This window comes from Homo sapiens, chromosome 18 (genome assembly GCF_000001405.40).
Source record: "Homo sapiens chromosome 18, GRCh38.p14 Primary Assembly".
Lineage (NCBI taxonomy): Eukaryota > Metazoa > Chordata > Mammalia > Primates > Hominidae > Homo > Homo sapiens.
In genome coordinates, this window is record NC_000018.10 from 77,266,724 (window position 1) to 77,292,388 (window position 25,665).

Sequence of the window (25,665 nt, forward strand, 5' to 3'; positions counted from 1 at the left end):
AGTGAAGGGTCGGGGGAAACCCCTTATAAAACCATCAGATCTCCTGAGAACTCACTGTCACGAGAACAGCATGAAGGTAACTGCCCCCATGATTCAATTACCTCTCACTGGGTCCCTCCCATTATGTGTGGAGATTATGGGAATGACAATTCAAGATGAGAGCTGGGTGGGGTCACAGCCAAACCATATCAGTGGGATTGCTGCCAGCTCACGCTCTGATGCTTCCCCTCCCAATGTCCAAGCATGCTCTAAAATATTACAGCCTGGACTATGTCTGAGAGAAAGAAGTTACTTGAGTCCTAACCTTTGGCCAAGAGGCTGAAAGGTGCACCTCTTTGCGCTTAATGTTCCTTTTTTCCTATGAGAAGTAAACTTGCTGGTGAAGTGAACAGAAAGCTGAAGCCATCGAACAGAGGAGGCTGGGGAAGCACTCTGTCCCTTCACGCCAGGGAACTGAGATGGAGGTTTTCTTATGGCAGCCTTTATTGCCCACACAGCTAGCATAATGCTTCTTGAGAAGCAGCCCTGTTGGGTGCAGAGAGGGAAGTGTGGCTTTTGATGACCAGAATTTTCCCTGCAGCTCAGCTGCCCAGTGCATGGGCTGGGGAGCATGTCGGCCTGGCTGCCAGCCCCACCTTTGCATTCAGCTGTGGGACACTGGGCATTTGCTCTTCCCCTCCTGAGTCTCAGTTTCCTCATCTACAACCTGTGGGTCATGACAGCATCTGCTTCATAGAGTCGTAAAGGACATTCGGTGAAATAATGCATGTGGTCCCATCATCGGTCCACTAGTTTCGATGGCTCTGTTGTGACCATCGCGGCACTAGAGGTTGTGTGTGGGTTTTGAGCTGCACTTGTTAGAGAACCATCTGTTTGAGGAGAGAACCAACTGATTGGTTTGTATTTTATAGTTTAAAAAATACTAGACTCCCGTAATTAAAGCATTTTAATAAATTGGATCATTGCCTTTTCTTTGAATCCAAAGACAGAGTTTTCAATTAATCACAAACTAAGCTATCTAGCTCTTGTCTTTCAACATGTGTGGAACAGACGAGGTTGCCCTGAGGCTTAATTCCAGTCCCATAGGTTTGTGGCCAGTGGAGGAGGCCATGGCCATGTATACAGGCACATGCTTGTTGAGCATAGGAGGTTGATGTCCTCTCCTGTTGAGGTCCCTAACCAGCGATGACTTCCTCCTACCATTTGCTCAGTAGAAATCACAAAAGAAACACGAAGACCCTGCCTCTGATTTCTAAGTATTTCTGATTTAGGAGCAGCAAAGAAAGAGTTAAAATGAAAGAAAGCAAAAGGGACTAATTCGGTCCATAGACTGAAACTGAAATGAAACACATCGCTGCATCAAGTAATTTGGCCTTGAATTTGCCAAAGTTTAACGAGGAGAAATAAACACTTACACACCTGCTCATAGAAGTGACTATTTGGAGCAAAGTCCAGCGCTCCTCCGAGATGCATTGCTGGTGATACAGCTGCGGTGGGTGAGATGCTTGAACAGTTTTGCTAGTTTAAAAGTTACAGTCTCTAACTTTGTACTTTTCTAGTTCCATGACTTGAAGCATACTTCCTATAATGCATTTCACATATATCACAAAATTATTACTATGGAAGGTAATGACAGGTCTTGGAAAAGTTATGAACAAAATTATTATGGGGAGTGAAGGTTAACACTTAAAGCAGATGTAGTATCCATTTTTGATCTCATGAAAATATACATAAAATTAGCTTAGGATGTATTTTAAAATGCTGGATTCCTTTTGTGTTGTAATCAATGAATTTCCTTCCTTCTTCTTCTCCCTTACCGCCTCCTCCTCCTCCTCCTCCTCCTCCTCTTCTTCTTTTCTAGACTGCACAGACAGTTCTGGTGGTGGTTGTGGTGTTTGGAATCTCCTGGCTGCCGCACCACATCATCCATCTCTGGGCTGAGTTTGGAGTTTTCCCGCTGACGCCGGCTTCCTTCCTCTTCAGAATCACCGCCCACTGCCTGGCGTACAGCAATTCCTCCGTGAATCCTATCATTTATGCATTTCTCTCTGAAAATTTCAGGAAGGCCTATAAACAAGTGTTCAAGTGTCACATTCGCAAAGATTCACACCTGAGTGATACTAAAGAAAGTAAAAGTCGAATAGACACCCCACCATCAACCAATTGTACTCATGTGTGATAAAAGATAGAGTATCCTTATGGTTGAGTTTCCATATAAGTGGACCAGACACAGAAACAAACAGAATGAGCTAGTAAGCGATGCTGCAACTTGTTATCTTAACAAGAATTCAAGTCGTTTTAATTAAATCCCACGTGTGTTAAAAAGTACTTTGATCCATTTAGGAAATTCCTAGGTCTAGTGAGAATTATTTTTCAATTTTATTTTAGTTCTAAATTATGTTTCAGAAACAAAAGACAATGCTGTACAGTTTTATTCCTCTTCAGACATGAAAGGGAACATATATATTCCATATATATGTTCAACTCTTCATAGATTGTGAACTGGCCCATCAATATGGTCAGGAATATTTGCAGTCTACATTTTAAAGCCAATTTATTTAGAAAAAAAAATTTGAGCTTTAATTCTTTAATTTTAAGAGAAGTAATATTGTGAACTATGTATTTTAAAATATGATCATGGACACACAATGATGAATTTTTTGGCCATTTACATAGACATATCTATTAAGTGGAAAGAAGGCTTTCTGAAGTCTGTTTGCACAGGTGGCATTTGCTTCCAATTGTAGCTAGCGCACAGAGCTTTGGAAGCCTGTCATTATGAGATACAGTCGGTTTACCTCAGGAGTCAATTCAGTGTTGTACTGGTGACCTGGGATGCAGTAGTAGGCACTGTTGATTCAAATTTATCCTGTGAAACTGGCTTTATAGAGTTAACAAAACAGAGTCAGAGACCACTGTCTTAACAGTGGAAGATGCAAATAAGTTTTTGAGAATAAAACTGGATTTTGAAATTTTACATTAGTACTTGACAAAAGTTTTCATTTTGCCTTGAATGGAACCTACTAAAAAGAGAGATGAAAAAAAATCAGCGAGGTTGATGTAGATAATAATTTCTATGGGACCAAAGACTAGACAGAATTCAGTAAGTCACATGAAGTAATGGTCATGCCTGTACATAAAGCATATTTCATGTTTGATTTAGATGACATTCAAAAAAAATCATGGGACTGAATATACCTGGGGTATCCTATCTTGTACAAATGCATGCTTTTTCATTAAATTTGTAATGATGTTTAATGAACATTTCCACCAAACATTATTTCCTCTAAAAATGTTAATTTGGGGTTAAAACCATCACCATTTGAATTTCAAATGTAGTTTTCATGACAATTTTATATTGATGTGTGTTTACAATGAGAAAATGGCATGAAAATATTAAATTGTCTTGTATCGGAAAAGTACTTTTCAGACTGTAAGACTTTGATATGTTTTAGGAGGCAACAAAAGCAAGAAGTTTTTTTTTTGTTTGTTTGTTAAAAAGGATTTGGCCAAGCACAGTGGCTCATGCCTGTAATTCCAGCACTTTGGGAGGTCCAGCTGTGTGGAATGTACTTGAGCTCAGGAGTTTGAGACCAGTGTGGGCAACATGGCAAAACTCGGTCTCTACTAAAAATACAAAAATTAGCTGGGTGTGGTGGCGCACGCCTGTAGTTTCAGCTACTCTGGAGGCTGATGTGGGGGATCACCTGAGCCCGGGAGGTCCAGGATGCAGTCAGTCAAGACTGCACCACTGCACTTCAGCCTGGATGACAGAGTAAGACTCTGTCTAAAATATATATATATATGTGTGTGTGTGTGTGTGTGTGTGTGTGTGTGTGTAATGTACCTCTGTGCCAAATCAGCACTCCACATGAAACATCAAATTTTAGATAAAAATGCAAACTTGACATAAGCCTTTGGCATGCTAATTTTTTTAGCTCATTCACTTACTTTCACTAATCATATTTCAGTGACTAGTGTTTACATTTGCAATGTTATTAATAACTCTCTGGATAAAAGGAAAGAAAAACGTTAGAAAGATTTTGAAGTGATGTATTATGTTTGTTGACTAGAAGAAGAAATTGTGTTTATGTGTAAGTGAGGGTCTTAAAGAATATGTCCTTTGCATCGAATGTTTTTTGCACTTTATTCAAATATATAGGAGCAGAAAAATTTTATCCTGACGATGATACTTCCTGTGATTTGTGGAACTTGAAGTTGCTGTTGCAAACTCCAGAACAACTTCTTTGGGTGTGAACTCACAAAACTGTGTAAAGAAGTGCCTTCTTGTTGTGTTTGAGTTTGCATGAATGGAAATGATTTCTTGCACCATGGCTATTTCTTTGTTTTCTCCTTCTGATCTGTAAGCATATAAATGGAAGTATTTAAAAAAATACTGTAGCTAATGTTGCTATTTTCTAGAGGCATGCCGAAAATGTGCTGTGCCTTTGGTCCTTCCCAGATGCTACTGGCACGTCTGAAGCTTGAGGCATGGTACAAAAAGTAATAGCTTGCGCTTGAAACCCCCCCCCCCCCGCCACTTTGCTAAATGTAAATGCTAATTGTTGCATTTTACAGTTAGATAGGATATACTTCCTGCATATTGTCATTCTAATCAATTCCTCTTACTCAGAGTTTTGGCTGAGTCTACTTCTAAAACAAATTTTGATAGGGATAATGACATCTTCTGCAAAGATCTAAACCTCTACAAAATTTTCTGAATAAAGAGTTTCAGAAGAACTCGTAAACAGAATGAAATTAACCAGAGAAGTATAGGAGTGTGTTGCGTTTGCCAAGCATCTGCTTCCCAGCTAGATTTCCCCCTAATATACAATGACCAATTCTGAAGCACCTTCTTTTCCGTCACTAAATAAAGACAGCTTCCCAAGGACACACTTTTTCTCCCAGCATCAGGTTGAGGGAGAAATATTGCTTATACCTTTGAAGTCAGGCTGCTTGAAACTCACATTTTCAGTTTACTTCAAAGAAAACTGATGCTTTCTAAGCAGATTTGGCTGTCTCAGTGCCCAAGGCAGCTGTTATTTTCCTAGGCTTTTTGCTTTCACGTAAGGAGACAGGCTTTGGGATATTTAGTAGCTGAAATGCTTGCTGTTTCACATGCATAAGCAACCATTTCAGTGTCCTGCTGATGAATACAGTGATGTGGATGGAAACGTTTTCTTGTCCTATATCCTGGGGATAGGAAACAGATTCTCTGTGCTCTTCTGACCGGGTATGTACTCAGCAACATGGGGGACTGAGGCCATTTTCTGAATACTTTAGGTAAATTACTTTTGCTTTTAACTAAATTGTTTTATTTTACACATTGGGAGTAAAACCATTTCCGCCCCATCCCAATCTCTTGTGCTTTTATCTTTTTTATCCTAACTCACTTCTATCCAGATTTCCTCTCGATAATATTTACCACAGATAAATTCATCTTTCAGCGCAGATATAACAAATCAGAGTGGGGAGGAGAGATGCTTAAGGAACTGCATGAGTCATGCAAGGCTCAGAACTTCTTGTGGCTCAACTCGAAATCATATTGCATTCCTGCATTCTCCCAGATGCTTTGAGGCAGTGCAGCGATCATTCTAATATGTTAACTGAGACCCAAGATCTCAGCAGGAGAGGACAGCTTATCCAAGCATCCCTTTCCTTTTCAGTCATGGCCATGGCTATCTGTAAACACCAAAATGCTCATGCTGAAGCAGCATTACATTGAGGAAAATAACCTATTGGGCAGCTTCATCATGTTCTTGCTTTAAATGATTTATCAAATACATGTATGTAAACTACATAGTCACTAACTGCGAAAATACATCAATGTGGCTACTTCCTCTGGAAAGTTACTGTCTAAAATTTGTAAATTTTAATCTTCACTGTTGCACATATTTTCCATGTCTTAAATTTGTAAGTGGGTTTCTATGAAAGGTAATCGTATTCTTCTTGACCATTAAAAATGTTGCATGTAAGGCTATTTCTCAAGTAGATGTTAATGACTTGTTTAATTATTGACTTACTTATTTTAAAAGCTGTATGTAGTAAGAACAAGTAGGTGGTTTAAAATTCAGATAGTTACATGTTGGCCTGGAAAGAACAAAATTATGAAATGGTAATTATATCTGATTTTATTTAACCATATTTTAATATTTTCTCTTTTAGAAGTGGAAAAGTTGAGCCTGAGGAAGAATTTAAAATGCTTAAGACATCTTTGATGGGGGCTGTATTTGCATTAGGCAGAGGTGTCTAAGGAGAGTGTATCGTGTATTGTGATGCATTAGCAGGATGTTTTGTTCATCGACTTGTGAAAGTGCTGTGGATAATAGATGGTGGTTTCTTTTCTTAGTGTGGCAGGTTCACTCACATTCATGTTTTTGACTTTAGCTGCCATCCTGGGGTTCTGAGGGTAGCATGTCTGTTTGACTGGGCAAGACCCTCACATACCTTGGCAGGCCCTGGCTTTCGTTTCTCTGTGGTGCCTGGTGCTACTCACAGGGCTGACTCACGGGCAGATGCTCCCCATCCTTCCCCATAGGCCCTGTTCCCGCATCCGATGATTCTCAGGTTTTGTTCTAGGTGCAGAAATAGTGGGAGAGGCCATAATCGTGAATGATGAATAAGAAGGGAAGGTGGGGCCGGGCATGTGACTTATGCCTGTAATCCCAGCACTTTGGGAGGCCGAGGCAGGTGGATCACCTGAGGTCGGGAGTTCGAGACCAGCCTGACCAACATGGAGAAAACCCGTCTCTACTAAAAATACAAAAATTAGCTGGGGGCACACATGTGTGATCCCAGCTACTCAGGAGGTTGAGGCAGGAGAATTGCTTGAACCCGGGAGGTGGAGGTTGCAATGAGCCTAGATTGCACCATTGCACTCCAGCCTGGGCAACAAGAGTGAAACTCTGTCTCAAAAAAATAAAAATTAAAAAAAAAAAAGAAGGTGGCCAGTGAGGGTTTTATCTTTGTATTCACTGGAAATAACCTCAGCTGAATTTTCTCTCTGAATCTTTTCAATGTTGGCTCCATTTGCCATACTCAGACAATTGCTTGAAGAGCTGAACTGTTAGCTCAAGATTTCGTTGGCACTGTTGGATAGAAAGCCTCTCCTTTTCTGCTGGAGAAGAGATTTCTCAGGCCAAGTTGTGTAGCTCCAAATTCTCCGCAATTAGAGAAGGCACAGTAAAGAAAAGATCCCTTGCTGATGGAATGGACTGGAACTGAGCTCCACTGTTTAAATTTTTGACTCTCAGGTAGTGGTGATCGTTATGGTAACCCATGAACTCGGATGAATTTCGGGGCCTGCTGTGGGTTTTCTATGGGACACCATATACCACAGTACTGTATTTCAAAATATTGGATATTGATTATGAACACTGGAACTATTTATGTGTCATCATTCCAAAGACCATTGTGATCTATGAAGCTCCTTTATTTGCTGGCTAGATTGTCCAAAAACAAGCTCACTTGTTTTTGGGCAATCTAGCCAAGGTGTCACATAATGGAGAAAAATGCAGATGGTCCTGTGGCTGGTGTGAATGAAGAATGACCTGGGCCCAACATAGAACTTTTCCAGTATGGTGAGCATCAAAGTAGGCAGACATCCAAAAGCCAAGTGAAGGGCAGATAGATCCCCAGGTGCCACCCAGGCTCTGCAGGCAAAGCTCTCAGGGCCCCATTTGTGTTTGTGTGGCCTGCACTGTGTAAGTGTCGTTCCCCTAGGACTTCTGCAATGGGATACCAAAGATGACGTGTAAGGCCTTCAGTATATAATGGACTTGTGCCAAGTACCTAAGGGTTCACTGCCTTGTTTGAGGAATCGCAGAGCATCATTTCTGATTGGTTCTTAGAGCCTGCATCTTGTACCACTGGGACTTCTGGAGACCTCTGGGGACCGTTGACTATGCTGGGAGGGTGCAGAAATGAAGCTGATGGCAGAAGCAGGCTCCCAGCTCCTCTTCTTCTGCTCAGCCAGGTGATTCTTACCTCCATTGGCCTTTGGATGTCTGCGTAATAATTTGTTGAGAATCATTAGAGAACAACTAATCCAAAAAATCTATCATCCTTTATTTGTGTTGACTTTCTGATTATGCCTTCATTCACTCTTTTTATTACTTATACACATGTCTGTTTTTATTCTTCCCTACTCTTTTCTTAAAGTTGGTCATATTTCTACACTTGAGATCTTCCAGTTTCTGTGAATGTTGAGGGGTTCACAAAGTGGCTTGGCCTCAGACCTCTATATCCTTGTTGTTCTGTTTGGACTTAGGACTTTTTTCCTGGCTATCCTGCCAATACTTTTCCATCTAACAGAAACGCAAGCTTCAAGAGCAAGTTATTTTTATAACAGATCATGTGAGCAATTCCTCCATAGCATTGGTTGTAGAACAGGTCAGTTGGCATGTGGCCTCCTGAGGGCCTTGCATGGGGTTCTGGACCCAGCGGGGGCCACATCTCTGAGAATTCGTTCCCTGTGGGTGTCTGGGGTGCATCGTTACTTCTGAGATGTTATGACTCAGCAGATGAGATTTGTCCGTCTGCTCAGTGAGAGGAATTCCAATGCTGGGTCTTGACTCCCGCTGCAGGGAGCTCTCTGGGCCCGGGCATGTTGGATGGAGTTGTGATGGGTGTGCCTCCCTCGGACTTACTCTGGCCAGGAACTGCATCTGCTCCTCTAAGGAGATTTGAGCAGGTGAATGGAGTTTCTGTCATTCCTGGTCTAGAGTTCATGTGTGAAGGTCAAATATAGGTGGGGACTTGGCAGCACACAACTCTGAGTGAAAGACACGATCAGCGTGATAGACAGGTGTCTTGCTATGTGACTTGCCATTGCGGTCACTGGTTATACAAAGTCTCTGTTTAGAAATAGCAAAGATCCAAGAAAGCAGAAGAGTGGGGGTGGGAGTGGGGCTAAATGTGTTGCTCTTCAGTGGAAATCTGCCCATTTTGTTGAAAAGAAAGGAAACAGGGTACACAAATGCTGTTTGGGAACATTGTGTCAGGATCACCTAGCTTTGACGATGAGAGTGTTTTTTAAAACGGAAACCATGTCATTTTCCTTCTAGAGAGAATTTCCTGGTATGTCAATGTAGCTTCAGAAATAGGTCTCAGTGTTCTGGCTCAGGGCGAGGTTACAAAAGAGGCTTCGGTAGCGTCCTCAGGCCCGCGTGCCCTGTGTTCTTAACAGCCTCATGGGGCCTAGAGGAACTTTTACATGGTAGACACTGAGTGAATACACAGATTCCTAGATTTGAGATATTTTCAAAATAGGGCTAGCATGTATAAAGAATCAAACTTAGTCATTCCATTGAAGTGAAATTGGATTATAATTTAGAAATATTTATAAGCCAGAAATGGTTGTGTAAATGTTAGTTTTCATATTTTGGTTTTCTAAGAGTCACATTTTATTGCCATATAGCACAAAATTTGACAATGAGGTATAGAAATCCAAAATTTTCTTGGGTACAATTGAACAAATCTTTTAATCTCTTCAGTTCTATCTGCCTAAGTGAGGAGAGTAGTTGTGGAGCATTGTAGAAAGGATAAAATGAACATTAGGATACTGAGGGTTTGGTCTGAATTCTGTTTTTTCATTGCTACTGGAAGTGCTGTCTTTGGTATCCTCATGCATACAAGAAGGATTTGGAAAATGTCAGTGAGTTTGAAACTGGCTGTACAGTTGAATGAGCTGGGCAGTTGAAAGTACCCGTGATGCTCTGGCCTTACCTTAGATCAGAGATTCTTATATTTTATCAAGCATCAGAATCACCTGCAGAGCTTGTTGAATGCAGATTGTTGGCCACATCTCCAGAATTTCTCATTCAGTAGATTTGGGATGGAGCCCAACGATTTGCAGCTGGTCCAGAGACCACCTTGTGAGATCTACTACCTGATTTAATTGGTTTGAAGGTGAAGGTGGAGTCCAGGCTTTTTAAAACAGTGTCTGTATTTTCAGAGCAGATAACCAATCAAATTGAGCAGATGGTCTTTTAAAGTCTAAGCTTCTATGGTTCTGTGAAAAAAATTGTTTACATGGAATTTAAATCATTCAGAATTTTTATTGCTTACATTGATCAGATCCATAAAATATCTGTTTAACTATTACATTACCCTAGCTACAGAAATTTGTAAGTTTTCAAAAGCATGAAGGAGTTTAATAACTTGTAAGACTTTCAGAGATTGTTATAATTTTTGCCTCAAAAAAATAAAATAAAATAGCTTGGTGGAAAAGAGCACCTATGCATTCAATTTGTTTCCCTCAAATGCTAAGGGTTAAAATAGTACTCAAAATTGTTAGATGTGAAGTTTTGAACCCAGTGTTTAAACTCAGTGTTTAAATATTTGCATGTCTTTCTATGTGACTGCTAATTTTTAACTACATTATTATCTCTAAGAGATAAATAAACTTTCCCTGTACTTAAAGTTTTTAAATTAAGTATCTTCTGATAACATAAGTAGTATGAGTAAGGAAAAAAAATCTATGTGTACTGTATTTTTAAATTTTAATAAGGTTTGATATGGTTTGGCTCTGTGTCTCCACCCAAATCTCACCTTGAATTGTAATAATCCTCACGTGTCAAGGACCAGCAGGTGGAGATAATTGAATTATGGGGCCGGTTTCTCTCATACTGTTCTTGCGATAGTGAGTTCTCAGGAGATCTGATGGTTTTATAAGCATCTAGCATTTCCCCTGCTGGTACATTCTCTCTTCGCCTGCTGCCATCCATGTAAGATGTGACTTGCTCCTCCTTGCTCTCTGCCATGATTGTGAGGCTTCCCCACCACTTGGAAATGTAAGTCAATTAAACCACTTTCTTTAGTAAATTGCCCAGTCTCGGGTATGTCTTTATCAGCAATGTGAAAACGGACTAATACAACGTGATTGTTTAAATGCTGATATGAAAGCAGTGCTGAATGTGGATCTTCTTATGCCAGATACTGTTATAATTATTCTCTAGAGAGCTGGCCATACAATTTATCTCATTATTTATAGATCTAGCATGAATGCCAGTAAGCTGACAAAGCCAAAAGCCAAAAACTAAGAGTTTGTATTAATCCAGTTAATGCCAAATCTAGTCATCCTCCATCATCCTACCTCTGTGTTCTGCATGAAATATAATTGGCCTTTGTGATGGAACCAGTTTTCTTGCATTGAAAATAAAATTTGTTCCTCAAAATGCTCTAGTTTAAGAGTGTGCTTTTTTTCCCAAACAAAATGGAAATAATTTTCTGTTCCCATTAAGTTCTTGAAGACACTGTATTCTTTAGTTACTGCATATTTGAGAATATTAATTTGTTGCCTTTATACCTGAAAAACAATGTGAGATGAAATTATTTTATTGCAGTATGTTTTTATTAAGATATCTCTAGACCCAGCTTAGAATTTTGAATGTTACTAGAAAAAAGTCAGAAGGCAAACTGATGCCCCCATTTTAGGTAACTAGCTTTTTTCCACTTGGATGAGCTGAGATTTTTAGAGTTACTGATGCCTGATACCTTCACCAGAATGTGTTTTCATCACTCTCTAATACCTGAATATTCTTCATAAATAGAATTATATTTCCATAAACATGAAAGGGACATTTAGACTGGTAAAGTGACCATTTAGTCTGGCAATTCCAAATCTTTTTTCATGTAAGGATTCTTTTACAAATATAAAATTATTCCCAGACTTTCATATGACAATAATGTACTTTTAGTATATGTCAATAAATACAAGATGAAAAATAAAATGAAAAATAAAACTACAGACCTCTATCTCTCGTGGATATAAACACAAAATCTTCAACAAAATGTTGATAAATCATATCCAGAAAGGTTTAAAAAGAATTATATACCATTACCGAGAAGGGTTTATTCCAGGAATGCAAGGCTGGATCAACAGTGAAAAATCAATCTATGTAATCTGCCATATTAGCAGCCTACTAAAGGAAAATTGGACTATCATAATTGACACAGAAGAAGCATTTGACAAAATCCAGCACCATTCATGATTAAAAAAATTCTCAGTAACCTAGGAATAGAGGAAAATATCCTCAATTTAATAAATAGCATCTACAATAAAACTCTAGAGCTAACATGTTTTAATAGTGAAAGACAGACTGCTTTTCCCTTAGATAAGGAAAAAGGCAAGGACATCTGTTCTTATTTAACGTGGTATGGAAGTTGTAGTCACTGCAATAAGGCAAGAAAAAAAGGAAAAGGCATATAGAGCAGAAAAGAGGGATTAAATTGTCTCTATTTACAGCGGACATGATTATCTATATAGAAAATCCCCCTGGCCGGGTGCGGTGGCTCACGCCTGTAATCCCAGCACTCTGGGAGGCTGAAGTGGTCAGATCATGAGGTCAGGAGTTCGAGACCTGCCTGAGCAACATGGTGAAACCCTGTCTCTACTAAAAATAGAAAAATTAGATGGGTGTGGTGATGGGCGCCTGTAATCCCAGCTACTTGGGAGGCTGAGGCAGGAGAATTGCTTGAACCCAGGAGGTGGAGGTGGCAGTGAGCCTAAAATAAAGGACTTGGCCACAGAATATTACATCTGGTTCCTGAGATTGTTCCAGTCTAGTATCTCCTTTCTGTAGTGATCAAAATTTTGAAAGACACTGTGATAAAATCAATAGATTTCAAGTGTAATGACTTTTAATATTGTCTGCTTTACAGTGACTTCCTCTAGCCACATCTGTAATGCTGCAGAGAGTTGCCTAATTTTTCTTTCCACTTTGGCTTGCTGATTATTTTATTTAGTAAGAAGAAGCTATTTTCCTTCTGCATACTTACACACATTTGATATGATTTTCTTTTCTTTCTTTCTTTTGTTTTTTCTTTTTGAGATGGAGTCTTGCTCTGTTGCCAGGCTGGAGTGCAGTGGCGCGATCTCAGCTCACTGCAACCTCTGCCTCCCGGGTTCAAGTGATTCCCCTGCCTCAGCCTCCCAAGTAGCTGGGATTACAGGCATGCGCCACCATGCCTGGCTGATTTTTTTTGTATTTTAGTAGAGATGGGGTTTCACCATGTTGGCCAAGATGATCTTAATCTCCTGATCTTGTGATCCGCCCACCTCGGCCTCCCAAAGTGCTGGGATTACAGGCGTGAGCCACCGCGCCCGGCCTTGATATGATTTTCTCTACATACAAGGGAAAATATTCTGGTTCATTGGTGTTGTCATCTGTGGTTAAGATAATTTTAAAAACAAATACAAAAATGACTGCAATTATGGTGTAAATAAGATCAGTGGGTCATTTATGTTTTTTTTAAGTGAAAAATATTTATTTAAAGAATTCATAGACTCAGCAGTTAAGAGAATATTATATCTTCAGTTGAAGCCATTTTAAAACTGCATATTCCAATATCATCATCTCAAGGTGTAGGTACTATTTAATGATAGAATAAAATATTACTTAATATTGCAGGAAAAAATCCAGGGCTGATGGTTTTCTTGTAAATGCATAAACACGGGGATATATGATGGGTTAGGTAGTTGCTGGGGCATCCATCCCGTGAGGGTGTGTTGCAGCTCGAGGTGTCTTCCTCGTCCCCTTTCCGTAGCATCGCACCTTTTACCTCACTGGCCTCTCACCAGACAGGCTTCTCTTGGCCTTGCACAAAGTCCCTCCACCGTCTGTGTCTTTGAGGACTTCCCTGGGCTCTTCTGATCCGTTGCCCTCCTTCATAATCAGGGCCTGACTCCCATGGCTTTGCCTCCAGCCCCTTGCAACTCACCTGCTCATCCGTCCTGTGTTTAGTTGAACTCAGAACTCTCACTATGCTCATCCAAGAAGCCCATCCACACGTTGATGGGATGTAGAGAAGGAATTCCCTGCCTCTGTCTCCTGACCCTTGACACCTGCAATCTCTTTTTAGATAATTGGTAGATATTGGTGGGTGCAGGCAGTAATGTTCCTTTCCTTGTTCTTAAACCATTCATAACTATAACAACAGGAATCTGAGAAGGGGATTCAGGCTGTTTCTGAAGGTGGTGCGTCCTCTGCTCTGGGAGCCCCCTTAGTCCCTTGCACTCTTCCTTGGCTGGGATGTTGTAGCACGTATCCATTGAGATAGCTTCTAAGGTTCTGGGATTCTAAAGTTTGGGGGACCAGGCCTGAGAAATGGTGTTCATGAAATAATTTCATGCAGGTGTTATTATTTTTTGTACATAGAGCTTTCCTGAGGAGTATATTATTAAGTTTTAAAGCTGTCATTTAAAAAACTTAAATTGGTACACTGAAAGCTGCTAATTGCCTTTCATTCTATTTTGTAAAATGTGATTAAACACATTTGACCTTTTGGGAATAACTGAGAGAAGAAAATGCTTGCAGAGACTTCAAATAAAGGTATTAATATATATATATATATATATATATATATAAATGGCATTCTATCCTCTGAAGTCTAAATTAAGTGTATGATGAATGTCTGTTAAGAAATAATAGGTGGGGAAGGAATAAATGAAATTTCAGAAATTTGTTTCTACCTAGGGTGATTACACTGTAGGTACAGAATACTGGTAAAGTAAATATCCATAAATCTTAATGCATTATCTGAATAATCAAAAAAATAATATGCTGATAGGGTTCATGTTGAATGTATAAGTTACCATAAATTGTCTCTTACAAGAAAGCATTTCATAAATATGATTTCAGGAAGATTATGTTACGTTAATGAATAATAGTTGTGGTCCCAAAATGAAAGTTTCTTTAAGTTGAAACCTTTTTTTCATTTTGCCAATCAATAAACTTTTTTTGAACATCTGTGTGCAATTCACCATGATAGGCATTGCCAGGAATAAAAATGAATATAATATATATTTCTTGTCACCAAAGGAATGTAAGCATATAATTTTAAGAAAGAAGATAGGCCGGGCGTGGTGGCTCATGCCTGTAATCCCAGCACTTTGGGAGGCCAAAGCAGGCAGTTCACCTGAGGTCAGGAGTTTGAGACCAGCCTGGCCACATGGTGAAACCCCGTCTCTACTAAAAATACAAAAATTATCTGGGTGTGGTGGCATGCACCTGTAATCCCAGCTACTTGGAAGGCTGAGGCAGGAGAATCACTTGAACCTGGGAGGCGGAGGTTTCAGTGAGCCGAGATCACGCCATTGCACTCCAGCCTGGGCAACAGGAGTGAAATTGTCTCAGGAAAAAAACCAAAAAACAAAAAACAAGATAGATTGTTGATAAAACAAGATAGATTGTTGATAAGACAAATTGACAAAAATATCAAGGGGCAAATGAGTGATCAGGCAGAAGCCTTATTAAGAGGAACCCCCGCTGAGTAGCAGAGTTACCTGAAAGACTCTATGTGGTAGTTTTTGTTTTAATAGACCCTGTTTTAAGACTGAATTGTTACATGTTTTATGCCCTTGGTCATTGAAACTCTATAAATTTGATAAAAGACATGTATCTAACATCCAAGAAGCTCAACAAACTCCAGATAGGAGAATTTCAAAGAGACGCATGCCTAGATACATCATAATTGAAGTAGTTTGGGTATTTGTCCCCACCTGAATCTCATGTTCAATTGTAATCCCCACGGCTGGAGGTGGACCTGGTGGGAGTGTTTACATCATGGGGATGGGAGTGTGGGAGTGTTTAGATGATGGGGGTGGCTCCCTCATGGCTTGGTGCTGTCTTCATGATGGTGAGTTCTTGTGAGATATGGTCATTTAAACCTGTGTGGCACTTTCACGCTGCCCACTCACTCTTGCTTGCTCCTGCTTTTGCCAGGTGATGTGTCTACTCCCCGTTCACCCTCCACCATAGTTGAAAGCTTCCTGAGGCTTCACTAGAAGGCATGCAGAGGCCAGCACCATACTTCCGTAAAGCCTGCAGAACCATGAGCCAACTAAACCTCTTTTCTTTATAAATTTCCCAGTCTTGGGTATTTCTTTTTAGTAATGCAAGAACAGCCAATATGATAATTAAACTGTTGAAAGACAAAGAGAAAGCTATTGAAAACATCAAGAGAGAAGTGAATTGTTATGCCACAATTGTGTGATTAATAGCTAACTTCTCATCAAAACAATGATACAAGTCAGTGGGATGACATATTCTGAGTACTGAAAGAAAGAAAGAAAGAAAGAAAGAAAGAAAGAAAGAAAGAAACCAACTCTTAACCAAGAATTCTTTTTTTTTTCTTTCTTTGAGATGGAGTCTTGCTCTGTCACCGGGCTGGAGTGCAGTGGCGTGATCTCGGCTCACTGCAACGTCCGTCTCCTGGGTTCAAGTGATCCTCCTGTCTAAGCCTCCTGAGTAGCTGGCACTACAGGCGCCTGCCACCACACCCAGCTAATTTTTGCATTTTTAGTAGAGACAGGGTTTCACCATGTTGGTCAGGATGGTCTCGATCTCTTGACCTTGTGATCCGCTCGCCTCAGCCTCCCAAAGTGCTGGGATTACAGGTGTTAGCCACCACACCCAGCCTTAACCAAGAATTCTACATCCTGCAAAACTAGCCTTTAAATATAAAGAAAAAAATTAACACATTTCCAGATAAATGAAAGCTGAGATAGTTTGCTGCCAGCAGACCTAACCCACAAGAAATACTAAAAGGAGTCCTTCAGGCTGAAATGACAGAAAATTAAACAGTAACTCAATTCCAAATGAAGAAATAAAGAGCACCAGAAAAGGTAACTACGTAAGTATATAGGAAAGAGTGTATGTTTGTACATTTGCTTGTAATTACACCTTTTATTTCCTCTACAATGAAAAAGACAACTGAATAATATAATAATTTAAATGTACGTTGATTGGCACACTATTTATAGATATGTAATATGTGAAAATAACACCATATGGGGGAGAAGAATGAAGCTATATAGGAAAAAAGTTTTTGTATACTATTAAAATTAAGTTGGCACTAACTTGGAAGGGAATTGTTTCATTTGAGATGGTAATTGTGATTGTGAGAGTAACCACTAGGAAAATGACTATACATAGTAAAGGAAATGACAAGAAGCTTAAAATGGTACAGTAGGAAATAACTATTCAACACAAAAGAAGGCAATGATGAAGGAACCGGAAAAAAAGATGTAAGACATAGAGAAAAGGGCATATATAAATCTTGCTTTACTAGTAATTACATTAAAGGGATGAAACGCTTCAATTAAAAGGCAGAGACTGGCAGAATGCATTAAAAAATGCTCCAACTGTGTGCTGTCTGCAACAGAATCACAGTAGAATAAAAGACACAAATAGGCTGGGAGTAAAAGGATGGAACAAGATATGCCATACAAACATATTTTTAACCAAATGGAGCTGGATTGGCCATGCTAATATCAGATACAATAGGCTTTAATATAAAACTTGTTAATAAAGACAAAGAAATACTTTTATAATAAAAATGTCAACCCATCAAGATATAACAATTATAAGGCTGGGTGTGGTGGCTCATGCCTGTAATTGTAGCACTTTTGGAGGCCAAGGTGGTGGATTGCTTGAGCTCAGAAGTTTGAGACTAGCCTGGGCAACATGGTGAAACCCCGTCTCTACTAAAAATACAAAAAATTATTCGGATGTGGTGGTGCGTGCCTGTAATCCCAGCTACTCGGGAAGCTGAAGTGGGAGGATGCTTGAGCCGGGGAGGCAGAGGTTGCAGTGAGCTGAGATTGTACCACTGTACTCCAGCCTGGGTGACAGAGTGAGGCCCTGTCTCAGAAAAGAAAACAAACAAGCACGTCTGCATTTAACAACAAAGTCCCAAAATACATGAAGCAAAAATGGACAGAATCAAAGGCAGAAATAGATACCTCAACAGTAGTAGGAGACCTGAAGACCTCATTTTCAATAATGAATAGAAGACATCGAAGATTAGCAAGGAGAAAGAAAACTTGACGACGATGTACATCATCTATGCCTAACAGGTATCTATAGAGCTCTCTACACAGCAACAGCTCTCAAGTGTACAGGAAGCATTCTCTAAGTACATTCTACATTACACCATCAAACACATCCAATTTGATTTCAAAGGACTGACGATATACAAAATATATTATCTGACAACAGTGGAAGGGAATTAGAATCAATAACAGAAGGGAACTTGGGAAATTCACAAATATGTTGAAATTGAACACATGCTCCTAAATAACAAATGGATCCCAAAAGAAATCAAAAGGTAAATAGGAAACCACGGTGGTGAGTTAAAAAGATACCAAAAATCATGAAAGTAACAGAAGTAGGGCTCAGAGAGAAGGTTAGAGTTGTAAACACCTATGCTGAAAAAGAAGAAACATCTCAAATCAATAATATAACCTTCAACCTTAAGACACTATAAAAAAGAGCAAACTAAATCCAAAGCTAGCAGAAAGAAAGAAGCAATAAAGATTAAAGTGGAAACAGATGAACTAGAGAATAGAAACAGAGTAGCAAAAAATCAATGAAACCAAAAGTCAGTCTTTGAAAACCTTTAAAAGGTTGAAAAAGCCTTAACAAGACTGACCAAGAAAAACAGAAAAGAATTAAATGACTAAAATCAAGATGAAAGGAAGAACAATACTACTGATCTTATAGGGAAAGAGGACGATAAAATAACACACAGTAAAGTGATTGGGTTAGTTATAATAATAAAAAAAACTTCCCACAAGGAGAAATCCAGGAGCAGATGGCTTCACTTGAGAATTCTTTTTTTTTTTTAATTATTATACTTTAAGTTCTAGGGTGCACGTGCACAATGTGCAGGTTTGTTACATAGGTATACATGTGCCATGTTGGTTTGCTGCACCCATTAACTTGTCATTTACATTAGGTATTTCTCCTAATGCTATCCCTCCCCCTGCCCCCGACCCCACGACAGACCCCGGTGTGTGATGTTCCCCGCCCTGTGTCCAAGTGTTCTCATTGTTCAATTCCCACCTATGAGTGAGAACATGTGGTGTTTGGTTTTCTGTCCTTGCAATAGTTTGCTCAGAATGATGGTTCCCACCTGCATCCATGTCCCTGCAAAGGACATAAACTCATTCTTTTTTATGGCTGCATAGTATTCTGTGGTGTATATGTGCCACATTTTCTTAATCCAGTCTATCAGTGATGGACATTTGGGTTGGTTCCAAGTCTTTGCTATTGTGAATAGTGCTGCAATAAACATACATGTGTATGTGTCTTTAAAGTAGCATGATTTATAATCCTTTGGATATATACCCAGTAATGGGATCGCTGGGTCAAATGGTATTTCTAGTTGTAGATCCTTGAGAAATCACCACATTGTCTTCCACAATGGTTGAACTAGTTTACACTCCCACAAACAGTGTAAAACCATTCCTATTTCTCCACATCCTCTCCAGCATCTGTTGTTTCCTGGCTTTTTAATGATTGCCGTTCTAACTGGGATGAGATGGTATCTCATTGTGGTTTTGATTCGCATTTCTCTGATGACCAGTGATGATGAGCATTTTTTCATGTGTCTGTTGGCTGCATAAATGTCTTCTTTTGAGAAGTATCTGTTCATATCCTTTGCCCACTTTTTGATGGGATTGTTTGATTTTTTCTTGTAAATTTTGTTTAAGTTCTTTGTAGATTCTGGATATTAGCCCTTTGTCAGATGGGTAGATTGCAAACATTTTCTCTCATTCTGTAGGTTGCCTGTTCACTCTGATGGTAGTTTCTTTTGCTGTGCAGAAGTTCTTTAGTTTGATTAGATCCCATTTGTCTATTTTGGCTTATGTTGCCATTGTTTTTGGTGTTTTACTCGTGAAGTCCTTGCCCATGTCTATGTCCTGAATGGTACTGCCTAGGTTTTCTCCTAGGGTTTTTATGGTTTTAGGTCTAACAGTTAAGTCTTTAATCCATCTTGAATTAATTTTTGTATTAGGTGTAAAGAAGGGATGCAGTTTCAGGTTTCTACATATGGCTAGCCAGTTTTCCCAGCACCATTCATTAAATAGGGCATCCTTTCCCCATTTCTTGTTTTTGTCAGGTTTGTCAAAGATCAGATGGTTGTAGATGTGTGGTGTTATTTCTGAGGCCTCTGTTCTGTTCCATTGGTCTACATATCTGTTATGGTATCAGTACCATGCTGTTTTGGTTACTGTAGCATTGTAGTATAGTTTGAAGTCAGGTAGTGTGATACCTCCAGCTTTGTTCTTTTTGCTTAGGCTTCTCTTGGCAATGCAGCCTCTTTTTTGGTTCCATATGAACTTTAAAGTAGTTTGTTCCAATTCTGTGAAGAAAGTCATTGGTAGCTTGATGGGGATGGCATTGAATCTACAAATTACCTTAGGCAGTATGGCCATTTTCATGATATTGATTCTTCCTATCCATGAGCATGGAATGTTCTTCCATTTGTTTGTCTCCTCTTTTATTTCATTGAGCAGTGGTTTGTATTTCTAATTGAAGAAGTCCTTTACATCCCTTGTAAGTTGGATTCCTAGGTATTTTATTCTTTTTGTAGCAATTGTGAATAGGAGTTCACTCATGATTTGCCTCTCTGTTTGTCTGTTATTGGTGTATAAGAATGGTTGTGATTTTTGCACTTTGATTTTGTATCCTGAGACTTTGCTGAAGTTGCTTATCAGCTTAAGGAGATTTTGGGCTGAGACAATGGGGTTTTCTAAACATACAATCATGTCATCTGCAAACAGGGACAATTTGACTTCTTCTTTTCCTAATTGAATACTCTTTATTTCTTTCTCTTGCCTGACTGCCCTGTCCAGAACTTCCAACACTATGTTGAATAGGAGTGGTGAGAGAGGGCATCCCTGTCTTTTGCCAGTTTTCAAAGGGAATGCTTCCAGTTTTTGCCCATTCTGTATGATATTGGCTGTGGGTTTGTCATAGATAGCTCTTATTATTTTGAGATACGTTCCATCAATACCTAGTTTATTGAGAGTTTTTAGCATGAAGGGCTGTTGAATTGTGTAGAAGGCCTTTTCTGCATCTATTGAGATAATCCTGTGGTTTTTGTCATTGGTTCTGTTTATGTGATGGATTATGTTTATTGATTTGCATATGTTGAACCAGCCTTGCATCCCAGGGATGAAGCTGACTTGATCGTGGTGGATAAGCTTTTTGATGTGCTGCTGGATTTGGTTTGCAGTATTTTATTCAGGATTTTTGCATCAATGTTAACCAGGGATATTGTTCTAAAATTCTCTTTTTTTGTTGTGTCTCTGCCAGGCTTTGGTATCAGGATGATGTTGACCTCATAAAATGAGTTAGGGAGGATTCCCTCTTTTTCTGTTGGTTGAAATAGTTTCAGAAGGAATGGTACCAGCTCCTCTTTGTACCTCTGGTAGAATTCGGCTGTGAATCCGTCTGGTCCTGGACTTTTTTTGGTTGATAGGATATTAATTATTGCTTCAATTTCACAGCCTGTTATTGGTCTATTCAGAGATTCAACTTCTTCCTGGTTTAGTCTTGGGAGGGTGTATGTGTCCAGGAATTTATCCATTTCTTCTAGATTTTCTAGTTTATTTGCATAGAGGTGTTTATAGTATTCTTTGATGGTTGTTTGTATTTCTGTGGGATCAGTGGTGATATCCCCTTCATCATTTTTTATTGGGTCTATTTGAGTCTTCTCCCTTTTCTTCTTTGGCAGTCTTGCCAGTGGTCTGAATATTTTGTGGATCTTTTCAAGAAACCACCTCCTGGAATCATTGATTTTTTTGAAGGGTTTTTGTGTCTCTATCTCCTTCAGTTCTGCTCTGATCTTAGTTATTTTTTGCCTTTTGCTAGCTTTTGAGTTTGTTTGCTCTTGCTTCTCTAGTTCTTTTAATTGTAATGTTAGGGTGTTGATTTTAGATCTTTCCTGCTTTCTCTTGTGGGCATTTAGTGCTGTAAACTTCCCTCTACACACTGCTTAAAATGTGTCCCAGAGATTCTGGTACATTGTGTCTTTGTTCTCATTGGTTTCAAAGAACATCTTTATTTCTGCCTTCATTTCGTTATTTACCCAGTAGTCATTTAGGAGCAGGTTGTTAAGTTTCCATGCAGTTGGGTGGTTTTGAGTGAGTTTCTTAATCCTGAGTTCTAATTTGATTGCACTGTGGTCTGAGATACAGTTTGTTGTGATTTCTGATCTTTTACATTTGCTGGGGAGTGCTTTGCTTCCAACTATGTGGTAAATTTTGGAATAAGTGCGATGTGGTGCTGAGAAGAATGTATGTTCTGTTGATGTGGGGAGGAGAGTTCCGTAGATGTCTATTAGGTCTGCTTGGTGTAGAGCTGAGTTCAAGTCCTGGATATCCTTGTTAACCTTCTGTCTCGTTGATCTGTCTAATATTGACAGTGGGGTGTTAAAATCTTCCATTATTATTGTGTGGGAGTCTAAGTCTCTTCATAGGTCTCTAAGGACTTGCTTTATGAATCTGGGTGCTCTTGTATTGGGTGCATATATATTTAAGATAGTTAGCTCTTCTTGTTGAATTGATCCCTTTACCATTATGTAATGGCCTTTTGTGTCTCTTTTGATCTTTGTTGGTTTAAAGTCTGTTTTATCAGAGACTAGGATTGCAACCCCTGCTTTTTTTTGCTTTCCATTTGCTTGGTAGATCTTCCTCCGTCCCTTTATTTTGATCCTATTTGTGTCTCTGCACATGAGATGGGTCTCCTGAATACAGCACACTGATGGGTCTTGACTCTTTATCCAGTTTGCCAGTCTGTGTCTTTTAATTGGTGCATTTAACCCATTTATATTTAAGGTTAATATTGTTATGTGTGAATTTGATCCTGTCATTATGATGTTAGCTGGTTATTTTGCCCATTAGTTGATGCAGTTTCTTCCTAGTGTTGATGATCTTTACAATTTGGCATGTTTTTGCAGTGGCTGTTACCGGTTGCTCCTTTCCATGTTTAGTGCTTCCTTCAGGAGCTCTTGTGAGGCAGGCCTGTTGGTGACAAAATCTCTCAGCATTTGCTTGTCTGTAGAAGATTTTATTTCTCCTTCACTTATGAAGTTTAGTTTGGCTGGATATGAAATTCTGGACTGAAAATTCTTTTCTTTAAGAATGTTGAATATTGGCCCCCACTCTCTTCTGGCTTGTAGAGTTTCTGCCAAGATAACCGCTGTTAGTCTGTTGGGCTTCCCTTTGTGGGTAACCCGACCTTTCTCTCTGGCTGCCCTTAACATTTTTTCCTTCATTTCAACCTTAGTGAATCTGACAATTATATGTCTCGGGGTTGCTCTTCTCGAGGAGTATCTTTGTGGTTTTCTCTGTATTTCCTGAATTTGAATGTTGGCCTGTCTTGCTAGGTTGAGGAAATTCTCCTGGATAATATCCTGAAGAGTGTTTTCCAACTTGGTTCCATTCTCCCCATCACTTTCATGTACACCAATCAAACCTAGATTTGGTGTTTTTACATAGTCCCATATTTCTTGGAGGCTTTGCTCATTTCTTTTTACTGTTTTTTCTCTCAACTTCTCTTCTTGCTTTATTTCATTCATTTGATCTTCAATCACTGATACCCTTTCTTACACTTGATCAAATTGGCTAATGAAGCTTGTGCATGTGTCATGTAGTTCTCGTGCCATGGTTTTCAGCTCCATCAGGTCATTTAAGGTCTTCTCTACACTGTTTATTCTAGTTAGCCATTCATCTAATCTTTTTTCAAGGTTTTTAATCCTTGCGATGGGTTCAAACATTCTCCTTTAGCTCGGAGAAGTTTGTCATTACCGACCTTCTGAAGCCTACTTCTGTCAACTTATCAAATCTTTCTCCATCCAGCTTTGTTCTGTTGCTGGCGAGGAGCTGTGATCCTCTGGAGGAGAAGTGATGCTCTGGTTTTCATAATTTTCAGCTTTTCTGCTCTGGTTTCTCCCCACTTTTGTGGTTTTATCTACCTTTGGTCTTCGATGTTGGTGACCTACAGATGGGGTTTTGGTGTGGATGTCCTTTTTGTTGTTGTTGATGCTATTCCTTTCTGTTTGTTAGCTTTCTTTTTTAACAGTCAGGTCCCTCAGCTGTGGGTCTGTTGGAGTTTGCTGGAGGTCCAGTCCAGACCCTGTTTGCCTGGGTATCACCAGCAGAGGCTGCAAATATTACAGAACAGCAAATATTGCTGCCTGATCCTTTCTCTGGAAGCTTCATCCCAGAGGGGCACCCAACTCTATGAGGTGTCAGTTGGCTCCTAATGGAAGGCATCTACCAGTTAGGCTACATGGGGGTCAGGGACCCATTTGATGAGGCAGTCTGTCTGTTCTCCAAGCTCAAACACCATGCTGGGAGAACCACTGCTCTCTTCAGAGCTGTCAGACAGGGACATTTACGTCTGCAGAAGTTTCTGCTGCCTTTTGTTCAGCTATGCCCTGCCCCAAGAGGTGGAGTCTACAGAGGCAGCAGGCTTTGCTGAGCTGTGGTGGGCTCCGCCCAGTTAGAGCTTCCCTGGCTGCTTTGTTTTCCTCCTCAAGCCTCAGCAGTGGTGGACGCCCCTCCCCCTGCCAGGCTGCTGCCTAGCAGGTCAATCTCAGACTGCTGCGCTAGCAGTGAGCAAGAGTCCATGGGTGTGGGACCCACCAAGCCAGGCGCGGGATATAATCTGGTGTGCCATTTGCTAAGGCCATTGGAAAAGCGCAGTATTTGGGTGGGAGCGTCCTGTTTTTCCAGGTACCATCTGTCATGGCTCCCCTTGGTTAGGATAAGGACTTGAATCCAGACTATATAAAAGAGTTTTACAACTCAACAATGAGAACCAAACTATTATTAAAAAGTAGTTAAAAAATTAGATAAACATATTTCCAAAGAAGATATACAATATAAACAAGCACATAAAAAGATATGCACCATCGTTAGTCATCAGTGAAATGCACATCAACGCCGCAAGGAGATACCACTTCACACCCAGCAGATCACTATAATTTAAATGGAAAAGGAAAGTAAATGTTGTTCGGAATGTGGAGATATTGGGACCTTCATATACTGCTGGTGGGAATTTAAAATGATACACCTGCTAGAGAAACTAATCTGGCAGTTCCTCAAAATGCTAAACATAGACTGACCATACACCCTAGAAATCCCACTTATGTGTATATATCAAGAGAAATGAAAACATATGATCTTACAAGAACTTGAACAGGAATGCTCATGGCAGCATTGTTCATGTTAGCTAAAAAGTGGAAGCAACCCAAATGTCCATTAACTGATAAATGGATAAGAAAATTGTGGGATGTGCATACAGTGGTGTGCTATTAGCCGTGTTATAACCTGGAGGATCTGTGAAAACATCGTGCTACATGAGAGAAGCGAGACACCAATGGCAACACATTGTGGGATTCCATTTACATGGATTGCTCAGAATAGGAAAATCCATAAGACGGAAAGTAGATGTATTAATCCATTCACACTGCTATAAAAATACTACCTGAGACTGGGTAATTTATGAAGAAAAGAGGTTTAATTGACTCAGAGTTCTGCATGGCTGGGGAGGCCTCAGGAAACTTACAATCATGGTGGAAGGTGAAGGGGAAGCAAGGCACATCTTACATGGTGGCCGGCGAGAGAGAGAGAGAGAGCAGGGCAAACTGCCACTTATGAAACCTTCAGATCTGTGGGAATTCACTCACTATCGCTAGAACAGCTTGGGAGAAATTTCCCCCATGATCCAGTCACCTGCTACCAGGTCCCTCCCTTGACATGTGGGGATAGCGATTAGAGATGAGATTTGGTTGGGGACACAGAGCCCAGCCATGTCAGTAGATTAGTGGCTGCCAGGGGCTTTGGGGAGGAAAGATTGGGAGTGG

At 39.9% G+C, this 25,665-nt stretch overlaps 1 protein-coding gene across 1 annotated transcript in view, besides 2 other annotated features; it reads left to right on the top strand.

Annotated features, from left to right (window-relative positions):
• Positions 1–11,177, top strand: part of GALR1 (galanin receptor 1) — a 28,053-nt gene extending 16,876 nt beyond the window's left edge. Inside the window, exon 3 of the mRNA NM_001480.4 lies at positions 1,862–11,177. Within this exon, the coding sequence (NP_001471.2) occupies positions 1,862–2,179 (318 nt within the window). The 3' untranslated portion in view covers positions 2,180–11,177. The remainder of the gene's footprint in view (positions 1–1,861) is intronic.
• Positions 23,827–24,327: an enhancer, noted in NCBI's record as "H3K4me1 hESC enhancer chr18:75002506-75003006 (GRCh37/hg19 assembly coordinates)". NCBI's record gives its function as "activates a minimal SCP1, AML or CMV promoter by ChIP-STARR-seq in primed H9 embryonic stem cells {active_cell/tissue: H9 hESC(primed)}" and the evidence as "EXISTENCE:reporter gene assay evidence [ECO:0000049][PMID:30033119]".
• Positions 24,328–24,828: an enhancer, noted in NCBI's record as "H3K4me1 hESC enhancer chr18:75003007-75003507 (GRCh37/hg19 assembly coordinates)". NCBI's record gives its function as "activates a minimal SCP1, AML or CMV promoter by ChIP-STARR-seq in primed H9 embryonic stem cells {active_cell/tissue: H9 hESC(primed)}" and the evidence as "EXISTENCE:reporter gene assay evidence [ECO:0000049][PMID:30033119]".